The 12,191-nt window shown below is 45.8% G+C and overlaps 1 protein-coding gene and 1 pseudogene across 1 annotated transcript; both read left to right on the forward strand.

Moving 5' to 3' along the window:
* On the forward strand, positions 1–1,788 carry CCL4 (C-C motif chemokine ligand 4). The gene is made up of 3 exons (NM_002984.4): positions 1–155; positions 702–816; positions 1,399–1,788. The coding sequence occupies exons 1-3, from the start codon at positions 80–82 to the stop codon at positions 1,484–1,486; spliced, it is 279 nt and encodes a 92-aa protein (NP_002975.1). The 5' UTR covers positions 1–79; the 3' UTR covers positions 1,487–1,788.
* RN7SL301P (RNA, 7SL, cytoplasmic 301, pseudogene) lies at positions 6,324–6,621 on the forward strand (annotated as a pseudogene).

Below are 12,191 nucleotides of genomic sequence, written 5' to 3' on the forward strand. Positions count from 1 at the left end.
AGCACAGGACACAGCTGGGTTCTGAAGCTTCTGAGTTCTGCAGCCTCACCTCTGAGAAAACCTCTTTTCCACCAATACCATGAAGCTCTGCGTGACTGTCCTGTCTCTCCTCATGCTAGTAGCTGCCTTCTGCTCTCCAGCGCTCTCAGCACCAAGTAAGTCTACTTTTGCAGCTGCTATTTCGAGTCAAGGTGTAGGCAGAGTCCTTTTTTCTAGTCATGGCTGGCAAACAGTGGGATCTGGGGATGGGACAAAAGGCAGCTAGGAAGATTGCCATGTAGTCTGCTGCTAAATGTAGAGTCTAGTAGATATTCAATAACATTCAAGTTCCTATTTTCTTAAGAATTAGCAACCAGCAGAGGAAAACGATGGGCTGGAAGTCAGACTGTTGAATTGGCTCTGCCTTTAATTATTTGTTCAAGCAAGCCCCTGTCCCTCTCTGTGCCTTGGTTTCCCCATCTGTCATATGAAGGGAGTGCGATGTGTTCTGAGACTGAATCCAGTTCCAATCTTCTAGATTTCTTTCTCGTTCTTCTCTGAAGATCCACTATTCAAAATAAGACTCCTGCTCATGTTAGGTGGGAATGGATATTTGGGGTTCTGGTAGCTCCACAGGGATGCTCAATGAAGATACAAAATTAGAAGTCAAAATAAACAGCTCCCACGGGCAGTGTTGATCTCACCCTGGCCTTTCCTTTCAGTGGGCTCAGACCCTCCCACCGCCTGCTGCTTTTCTTACACCGCGAGGAAGCTTCCTCGCAACTTTGTGGTAGATTACTATGAGACCAGCAGCCTCTGCTCCCAGCCAGCTGTGGTGTGAGTATCAACCCCTGGGCTGCCCTGGGAGGCAAGGGTGAGGGCTGGATTTTAAAAGAGGGCCTGTTTTGGGGAGGGGGTGATTGAGCATTGGGGAGGCAGCTCCCAGGGCTGAAGCCTTCCCTGAGAGCAGTGAGGACACAGGTCATGAACTCACTTTTCAAGTGCTGAAGGCGGCAGAGTGGGAGCCGAGAGAGAAGGGGGTTGCTGGGGAGGAAGTTATTCAGAGGACAGGGAAGCAGGGGAAGGCAGACAGGTCCCATGAGATATGGACCGATTCCTTAAACCGTGCTAGAAAGACATGTGGAAAAGTCACTGCCAGGCTGGCAGGGAATGGGGAGATCTATTCATATTGATTGCAATGCCCCTTGGTTCCTAATCTGGGCAACTCCTGGGGCCCACAGCTAAATCCAGTGGGTGGAAGTTACAGGGAGTCTGCTTCCAGTGCTGCTCCAGGAAGGATCCCATCCACCAGAGCTGCCCCACATGGACCATGGTCAGGCAGAGGAAGATGCAAAGGATAAAGCCAGATGACCTCAAAGGTCTCATGAGATTCTAATCTGTCCGCTCCTTGTTCTACAGATTCCAAACCAAAAGAAGCAAGCAAGTCTGTGCTGATCCCAGTGAATCCTGGGTCCAGGAGTACGTGTATGACCTGGAACTGAACTGAGCTGCTCAGAGACAGGAAGTCTTCAGGGAAGGTCACCTGAGCCCGGATGCTTCTCCATGAGACACATCTCCTCCATACTCAGGACTCCTCTCCGCAGTTCCTGTCCCTTCTCTTAATTTAATCTTTTTTATGTGCCGTGTTATTGTATTAGGTGTCATTTCCATTATTTATATTAGTTTAGCCAAAGGATAAGTGTCCCCTATGGGGATGGTCCACTGTCACTGTTTCTCTGCTGTTGCAAATACATGGATAACACATTTGATTCTGTGTGTTTTCATAATAAAACTTTAAAATAAAATGCAGACAGTTTCTTTGTGATTTTAATTTGATTTGGGGGTAAAAGGAATTGCCTGGTACCATTGGGAGGGACAAACTACAGTTTCCCAAAACAGTAAGAATGAGCAATTGCTGAGTCCTTAATATGAGCTCTGGGCTGAACACTCTTAATACACGATCTCACTGCGTACTTTCAACAAGGGTTTTAACACCCTTATGAACTAGGGACTGTTGCACCGAGTTTCACAGTTAAGGAAACAGAGGCACAGAGAGGTGAAGTGACTTGCTGAAGCTTGTAGGCCTGCTTGGGGAGTGTCATGAAAGAATGCCCCAGAAAAGGAGGTTATCATTTCAACATCTTGTGGGGGGAGTTGTAAAGAGGGGAAGCAGCACAGCAAAGGCGGAAGAAGAGTGAGAAGAGTGACTTCATCATCTTATTATTATTATAACATTGGGAAAGTCATCTTGCCTTATTAGACCTCGGTGTTCACAAGTGTGAAATGGGGATAATATTAACCACTTCGAAGGGCTGTTATAAGGTGATGTATAAAGCACCCATCATAGGACCAGGCACCTGGAAGTTTCTCTCCTTCCCTCTCTGAGCTTCAGCCTTTTCACTTAAAATGGACCTAGCAATTGTCAGGATCATCATGAGGATTAGATTAGTTAGTTGACAGATCAGCACTCTAAATCCCAATCTACTGTGAAGTGTTGTCATGAGGACAGCAGGATGGAGGTTTTGTTTGGAAGTGTTGCAGGAGTAACCTAAAGCCACTTCTACTTAATTATCCTTCAATCAGAACTGCCTATTCCATGGGTCAGACACAACACAACTCTGAAGTAGAATTACATGCACAATAAAGCCTGATCCATGGGACACAGACTCGTAGTCTACTAAAGCTAAAAGGAAAGTTTAGACCATCTGGTCCAACCCTCTCATTTTATGGAAACTGAGGGCCAAGGCCTGGGAAGTAACTTGCCACGTGCCACTCAGCGAGTGCATAGCAGAGCAGGAGCCTGGCCAATGCCAGCTCCCAGGCTCGGGCCCTTTCCTGCACACCTTCCCTAGTGACGCATCTCTGTGGTCCTCAAAAGGGAGACCGGTTGAGTAAGAACAAGGCGGAGACTATCTTGAAAATCATTTGAGTGTTCTTAGTCCTATGCAAAAGCAGAATTGGGGCCCTGCACTTCTCTGGGGTCAACAGACACAATTCCCTTCCTTGTCCTGCCCTTAGTCACCCTCATCATTCCAGAGCCCCAGTGGAAACTTCTTTCAGATTCTGCGGGGACTGAGAGAAGGAGGTTAGGGGGCAGAGCTGATCCAAAACAGGTGTAGGAAGAGGCTAGCAGCAAAGAATGTGCCTGGCCATAGTTTCTGCTTTCATTTGCCTAGATCTGAGCTGTCTAATATGTTAGCCACTGGCCAAAGTGGCTATTTACGTTTTCATTACATTTAATTAAAATGAAATAAAATTTAAAATTCAGTTCCTGAGTCACACTAGTCACATTTCAAGTGCTCAGTAGCTCCATGTGGCTAGCTCCCATGTTAGACAGCACGGATTACGGGCTTTCTGTCCATCATTGCAGAAAGTTCTGTTGGAGAGCAGTCTCCTAGAATGTTCTCAGAGCCTAAAGAAAGTGAAGGGAAGGGGAGTTGGGATGGCCTGTAAGATTAGAGTGTGGATTTTGAGAAAGATATGCAATTCTATTCTGAGGCGACGGGATGGGAGAGAGAATGGATGACTCCAGGCCAGAGACAAGGTATAGATCACTACGGTAGCTGAATAATGGCCCCCGAGGTGCACACATCCTATTCCTCAGAACCTGTGAATGTCACTTTTATAGCAAAATGGACTTTGGAGATATGATCAAGTTAAGAATCTTGAGATGAGTGATTACCTTGAATTATTTGGTCAGGCCCTAAATGCAGTTGTAAGTGTCCTTATAAGGGGGAGGAAGAGAAGAATTTGGTAATAGAGGAGAAGATAGCAATGTGACAACAGAAGCAAGATGCTATGCTGCTGGCTTGGAAGATGGAGGAAGAGGCCAGGAGCCAAGAAGTGTTAGGATGCAGCTCTAGAAGCTGCAAATGGCAAGGAAATTTTTCCTCCCCTAGAGCCTCCAAAGGGAGTGTGGCTTAGTGAAACTAATTTCAGACTTCTCACCTCCAGAACTTTAAGAGAATAAATATGTGGTTATAAGATGTTAAGTGTGTGGTAATTTTTTACAGCAGCAATAGGAACAAATACAACCACCAACTGACGCGTCACTGATAGCGGCCCCCAATAGCTCAGTGTGGCAGGAAAGGGAGCATTCTAGAGGGTGAGCCAAACCTCCCTGCAGGAGGAACCCAGGGTGAGAGGGACACACCTCAAGGAGATGAACTATAATGAGGAGAGGCATCCCAAGAGGAGATCTGCTTCAGCAACTGAGTTCTGGGGCTGAGGCTTGATCCAGGGTCCAAGACCCTTAGGAAGCATGCCTCTTCTTGAGACATCTAGGGTGCTCTGAGGGGTCCTGGATTCCTGTCCGGGAAAGAATCCATCCTCTCATCTGTCAGATGCAGCCCAGAGCAGAGCCATGACCTGTCTCTGGTTCATTGTTGAGCAGGCAAGGTCAGGGCCAGAATCTGGGTCTTCTCCCTCACGATGGAGTCCCTTTCCCAATCCTCCCTGCCCCTCAGCTAATGGAAAGGGAGGAGCTCAGCTCCACAGAGGCAAGACCACCAGGGAAGGCTGCAGGAGGCCTGGGCAGCCTCATGAAGAAATGCTTCACCAGCAATTACAAACAGCAGAATGGAATCCTCGAAGTGGGGCAATGTGGGACTTCACCTGTTGCACAATATGAGACTGTTTTTTTCCTTTCTCCTCTTTTCATACAACTTCCTTTTCTCACCCTGGGCCCAGAGAGCTGGAATCTGCTTACTTGACGTTCCATTTGAGGTTTCTCCAGGTTTCCGGGTGGGGACAGAAGCCAGAACAGATGAAGCAGGACACTCGAAAGGAACTATGGATTATGGAGCAACTTCTAGGCATCCGGCCTGTTTTCCTACTCCTTGCAGTGCCCACCTCCCCCAGCTCACTCTCCAGATGGGAGTCCATTTCCTTATGTACATGTTCCTTTAGGACATGTTCATGCAAACATGTCCTCATCCCCCTATCCCACCTCAACCTGGAACCCTCCATCATGCTCCCATTGACACAGGCATTTTCCTCCAAGGAGGCCAGGAGCCGAGCAAGCAGAGGCAGGGATCAAGGGAGCAAGATGAGCTGAGGATGGTGACATAGCCACAGCTCTTCCTCGAGGCTGAGACCAGAGACCAGGTGGCAGTCCTGTACTGCAGTCTGCATTCACCCTTTACAGACTTGAGGGTCTTGGCGCCCTCTCTTTCCCACTTATCTCTACCTGTTCTCCCTTCTAAACTCCTTCTCTCTTGGGTTCCCACTGAGTCTAGCATACAGGAAAATGGAAGAAAAGAATTGAGAGACAAAATCATGGCACATTTTTCTACCTTTTAATAAGTTTCATTTTTGGATACAGCCAATGCCTCGTATATGTGGGTTCCACATCTGTGGATTCAGTCAACAATGGATGGAAAATATTTGGGAAAGAAAGCACAACAGGCCAGATGTGATGGCTCACACCTGTAATCCCAGCACTTTGGGAGGCTAAGGTGGATCATTTGAGCTCAGGAATTCGAGACCAGTCTGGGCAAACATAACAAGAACCTGATCCTACAAAAAATATCAAAATTAGTGGGGTGAGGTGGCACATGCCTGTAGTCCCAGCTACTTGGGAGGCTGAGGCAGGAGGATTGCTTGAGCCCCGGAGGCAGAAGTTACAGACAGCTGAGATGACGTGACTGCACTCCAGCCTGGGCGCTAGAGCAAAATCCTGTCTCAAAAACTAAATAATAATAATAACAAAATACAAATAAAAAACAATGCAGTATAACAATGATTTACATTTACATTTATTAACAGCACTTACATTGTTTAGGTATTCTAAGTAATCTGGAGATGAAAGTATACGGGAGGATGTGCATAGGTTATGGGCAAATAATATGCTATTTTATATCAGAGATATTTGTGCATCTGTAGATTTTGGAAGCCATGGGAATTCCTAGAAACAATCCCCTGTGGATATCAAGAGATGGCTCTATACGATAAGTGTGTAAAATATATATATTCAGAAGGAATCAGAAAATCAAAATTAATGTCTCTCAGGGAAGATGGGCTTGATGGGACTTGATGGAGGATGGTCTGGGAGACTATCCCCTTCTACGGAAACATTCCCTACTAGGAGACCAGCACAGCTGCAGGGAAATAATTTCTTCAGGCAGTGTTAGCAGCTTCTAAATCTCGGGACCCTATGTCCCTGGGCTCCTCAAGGAGATGTTGGTTATTTACAGTGACTCCTGATTCATTTCCTTAGGGGGTCCTCTCTTCCTTCAGCTAGGGACTTGAAGGGGAAAAGTGCCAGCATTTACCAAGCTCCTTAAAGCGCCAGGTGCTATACTGCTATGAGTTTCATATATAGTCTTTTTTAATCCTTGCAAAATCTCAGGTATGGTGGCATGTGCCTGTAGTCCCAGCTACATGGGAGGCTGAGGCAGGAAGATTGCTTGAGCCCAGGAGTTCTGGGCTACAGTGCACTATGCCAATTGGTGTCCACACTAAGCTCGGCATTAACATTGTGATCTCCTGGTAGCAGGGGACTACCAGGTTGCCTTAAGAGGGGTGATCCGGCCCAGGTCAGAAATGGAGCAGGTCAAAACTCGCATGCTGATTAGTAGTGGGATCGTGCCTGTGAATAGCCACCGCATTTCCACCTGGGAAACATAGTGAGACCCTGTCTCTGGGGAAAACAAAAAACAAAAAACAAAAACAACAACAACTACAACGACAAAAAACCTAAGGTAGATATTATTATTCCCATTTTAAAGATGAGAAAACCAAGGCTCTGAAAGGTCTAGAGGTAGATCCACAGTGTGAGGACACTGGTATGTGTAATCTTTGCAGACCTATTTGATTTATATTAGCTCTTCTTTTCTGTAACCTGCCTAAACAGGTCTACCTTGGCATAGTAAACCTCTTTGCCTTCCATCCTACCTTTCTATATCTCCTTGATTTGGAAGGTTGGAAGGGCTTGTCTTGTTCTCCCCCTTCATTTCTTGAAAAGAGTGAATCCCTGAATCTTTCAAGCTGTCTGTAGAGGAAGTTATTATATCTGTGACTCCAGATGAAGTCTGCAGATTCAAGGCCCTACCCACCCATTAGAACTTCTGACAGATGAGCGCCCACCAAGGAGTTTGATATCATGCACTTAATGGTTTTTAAATTAATAATTTTTGAATAGATAACAGTAGACATTATATACAATTCAAAAGGCATAAAAAGATACCCAACCAGAAAGTAAATCTCCCTCCTAGCTCTGTCACCAAAATATCTGTTACCCAGGGTAATGTCTATGTGACCTAGGTAAATTTCTACGCCACTTTAACTCTGCTTATCTTCAGAAAACAGGATGCCTGAGGTCCAAAGTTCCCCCTCGGGACCAACAGACTAAGACTGCTGGGGTCTAAGATGGCAGCTCACTTGACCTCCGATGAACTTGTAACTTCATTATAATCTAATGTCCATGCTAAATGACACTCCCACCAGCACCATGACAATTGACAATCTCCATGACAACAACTGAAGAAACCATAAGAGGACCAAAAGAAAGGCAAGAACTCCAATTCCAAGAAGCTCTCCACCCATTCTCAGAAAATACATGAATATTCCTCCCCCTGCTTTTAATGCCCAACCCCTTCATTAAATATATCCTATTATCTGTGATTTCCCGGCTCTCTGAGCTAAGAAGTTGATTTGTGAGCCAGGCTCCTGCTTCTCAGTTCCCTGGCTGTGATGTTAATCAATGTCAACTTGATTGGATTGAGGGATACAAAGTATTAATCCTGGTTGTGTCTGTGTGGGTGTTGCCAAAAGAGATTAACATTTGAGTCAGTGGGCTGGGGGAGGCAGATCCACTCTTAATCTGGTGGACACAATCTAATCAGCTTCCAGCTAATATAAAGCAGCCAGAAAAACATGAAAAGGAGAGCTGGGCCTAGCCTCCCAGCCTACATCTTTCTCCCATGCTGGATGTTTCCTTGTGATCGTGTAAGTTAACACTTAATAAATCTCCCCTCTCTCTCTCTATATATATCCTATGAGTTCTGTCCCTCTAAGAGAACCCTGACTAATACAGATTTTGGTACCAGGAGTGGTTCTAGAGAAACAGAATATTAAGGATTGAGTTCTTTCGTTGGTTTTGGGGTTTCTGGAATTGGCTGCTTAATATGGTTAGACCCCAAAATGCTAAGGACTGTATGTCTAATAGTATGGAGAAGACTGATAGTCCTTGGTGTGAACGGTTTAGATAGTTAGGCAAAATAAATGCATTTGACACTCCTGATTTCACTGCTCATGAGAGGCAAGGAGTTTAGTGACTCTATACATAATACCTTTGACCATATGCGGAGAACCAAGGAACATAATGAAGCTGGTTGGTTGCTCTTAAGTTCAGTATACAAAGTGTTGAAAGAAAATGATGAACTCAGGGATTGTCTCCCGGCTTCAGAAATAGATACTAAGCTTCAAATCTGCTAAGATTGCCCTGAGTGAGAACCTTATCTCCTGTACAGAAAGAGCTGAAATTGTAGAAAAACAGACACAAGCTTTTATCATGCAAGTGGCTGACCTGCAACAAAAGGGGCATGCACAGCCTCACCAGGTGTCTATTGTTAAAGTGGGGGCATTGATTGGAAAAGAATAGGACCCTGCAACTTGGAATGGGGAAATGTGGGAGCACCCAGATGAAGCTGGGGACACTGAGTTTGTAAACTCTGATGAACCTTTTTTGCCAGAAGGAACAGCTTCCCAATCCCCAGTAGTGGCAACATCCGCTCCCTGACCCATGCTGCCATCAGCCTTTCCACCTTTGTCCACAGATAAACCCTGTGCTGCCTGAGGCAACAGTGATGGCCTCCCCTGAGGCAGTTGCCAGGCAAAGTAATGTTGATTCCCCTCAGGAGCCACACCCAACACCCCTGTTTGCTGGCCCACTACATTGATGACAGTCTAGACATGTAACTACACTAAATTCTGGTCCATTACACTGATGACAGTCTAGACCTGTAACTAAAGTCCCAGTGGGCCCCTGGAAGTGAGATTGAGAGTGTGACCCATGAGGAGGTGCATGGCACTTCAAAAGAACTGTTTGAGTTCTCTAATTTATAAAAACAGCAATCTGGAGAACAGGCATGGGAATGGATGTTAAGGGTATGGGGTAATGGTGGAAGGAACATAGAGTTGGATCAGGCTGAATTTATTGATTTGGGCCCACTAAGTAGGGATTCTGCATTTAATGTTGCAGATTGGGGAGTTACAAAAGATTCTAATAGTTTATTTGCTTGGTTAGCTGAAATATGGAATAAAAGATGGCCCACTGTGAGCCAGCTGGAAATGCCTGATCTCTCCTGGTTTAATGTAGAGGAAGGGATCCAAAGGCTTAGGGAGATTGGGATGGTGGAGTGGATTAGTCACTTTAGACCTAATCATCCCAGTGGGAAGGGTCCAGAAATTAACATGTCTCCTGGTGCCTGGTATGCACCAATTGACTTGGCAAATGCTTTTTCTCCATTCCTGTCCATAAGGCCCACCAGAAGCAATTTGCTTTCAACTGGCAAGGCCAGCAATATACCTTTACTGTCCTACCTCAGGGGTATATCAACTCTCCGGTTTTGTGTCATAATCTTATTCAGAGAGACCTTGAACACTTTTTGCTTCTGCAAGATATCACACTGGTCCATTACAATGATGACATTATGATGACTAGATCCAGTGAACAAGAAGTAGCAAACACACTGGACTTATTGGTGAGACATTTGCATGCCAGAGGATGGGAAATAAATCTGACTAAAATTCAGGGAACTTCTACCTCAGTAAAATTTCTAGGGGTCCAGTGGTGTGGGGCCTGTCGAGATATTCCTTCTAAGGTAAAGGATAAGTTGCTGCATTTGGCCCCTCCTACAACCGAGAAAGAGGCACAAAGCCTAGTGGGCCTGTTTGGATTTTGGAGGCAACACATTTGGGAGTGTTACTCTGGCCCATTTATTGAGTGACCCGAAAGGCTGCCAGTTCTGAGTGGGATCCAGAACAGGAGAAGGCTCTGCAATAGGTCCAGGCTGCTGTGCAAGCTGCTCTGCCACTTGGACCATATGACACAGCAAATCCAATGGTGCTTGAGGTGTCAGTGGTAGATAAGGATGCTGTTTGGAGCCTTTGGCAGGTTCCCATAGGTGAATCACAGCAGAGGCCTCCAGGATTTTGGAGCAAGTCCCTGCCATCTTGTTCAGATAACTACTCTCCTTTTGAGAGACAGCTCTTGGCCTGTTACTGGGCTTTGGTGGAAACTGAACGTTTGACTATGGGTCATCAAGTCACCATGTGACCTGAACTACCTGTCATGAACTGGGTGTTTTCCAACCCATCTAGCCACAAAGTGGGTCATGCACAGCAGCATTCCATCATCAAATGGAAGTGGTATATATGTGATCGGGCTTGAGCAGGTCCTGAAGGCCAAGTAAGTTACATGAGGACATGGCTCAAATGCCCATGGTCTCCACTCCTGCCACTCTGCCTTCTCTCCCCCAGCCTGCACCGATGGGCCTATGATCAGTTGACAGAGTAAGAGAAGACTAGGGCCAGGTTCACAGATGGTTCCACACGATATGCAGGCGCCACCAGAAAGTGGACAGCTGCAGCACTACAGCCCCTTTCTAGGACATCCCTGAAGGAGAGCAGTGAAGGGAAATGTTCCCAGTGGGCAGAACTTCGAGCAGTGCACTTTACATGAAATGAGAAATGGTCAGGTGTGCGATTATATACTGATTCATGGGCTGTAGCCAATGACTTGGCTGGATGGTCAGGGACTTGGAAGAAGAATGATTGGAAAATTGGTGACAAAGAAATTTGAGGAAGAAGTACGTAGATGGACCTCTCCGAGTGGTCAAAAACTGTGAAGATATTTGTATCCCCTGTGAGTGCTCACCAACAGGTGACCTCAGTGGAGGAGGAGTTTAATAATCAAGTGGATAGGATGACCCATTCTGTGGACACTACTCAGCCTCTTTCCCCAGCCACCCCTGTCATCGCCCAATAGACCCATGAACAAAGTGGCCATGGTGGCAGGGATGGAGGTTATACATGGGCTCAGCAAGATGGACTTCCACTCACCAAGACTGACCCGGCTATGGCCACTGCTGAGTGCCCAATTTGCCAACAGAAGAGACCAACACTGAGCCCTCGATATGGCACCATTCCTCAGGGTGATCAGCCAGCCACCTGGTGGCAAGTTGATTATATTGGACCTTTTCCATCATGGAAAGGGCAGAGGTTTGTTCTCACTAGAATGGCACTTACTCCTGATATGGGTTTGCCTATCCTGTATGCAATGCTTCTGCCAAGACTACCATCCACGGACTCACAAAATGCATTACCCACCGTCATGGCATGCCAAACAGCATTGTCTCTGACCAAGGCACTCACTTTGCGGTTAAGGAAGTGGGGCAGTGGGCTCATGCTCATGGAATTCACTGGTCTTACCATGTTCCCCATCATCCTGAAGCAGCTGGATTGATAGAATGGTGGAATGGCCTTTTGGAGTCACAATTACAATGCCAAATAAGTGACAATAGTTTGCAGGGTTGGGGCAACAGCCAATCCAGGCAGGACTACAAATGACTCAGACCCTTCAGGAATGAAGGTTTGGGTCACTCCACTGGAAAAAAAAGCAAAAACAAAAACACGACCTACTGAGGTGCTTGCTGAAGGCAAAGGGAATGCAGAATGGGTAGTAGAGGAAGGTAGTCATCAATACCAGCTATGATCACAAGACCAGCTGCAGAAATGAGCACTGTAACTGTCATGAGCATTTCCTCCTTCTTTTGTTAAAAACATGTTTGTGCATGTATAGACTTGTACGAAGAAAATATCTTAATTTTATTTCCTTTTCCTTTATTATGTGACATAATATTTATTGGCTTCATATCAGCATTTAAGTATTGTTCACTTTATGTAATAGTATTTGGGTTGGTATTGGTGCCTTTCCAGTTGTACAATGGATAGTTGTATTATGTTACATGTAATTATGACCTCATTATTGTCTTTATTTGAAGATTATGTATGATCTCAGGAGATGTGTATGGGTTCAGGTTGACAAGGGGTGGACTTGTGATGGTTAATACTGAGTGTCAACTTGATTGGATTGAGGGTTACAAAGTATTAATCCTGGGTGTGCCTGTGGGTGTTGCCAAAAGAAATTAACACTTGAGTCAGTGCACTGGGGAAGGCAGATCCACCCTTAATCTGGTGGGTACAATCTA

This window comes from Homo sapiens, chromosome 17 (genome assembly GCF_000001405.40).
Source record: "Homo sapiens chromosome 17, GRCh38.p14 Primary Assembly".
NCBI classification, from domain to species: Eukaryota; Metazoa; Chordata; class Mammalia; order Primates; family Hominidae; genus Homo; species Homo sapiens.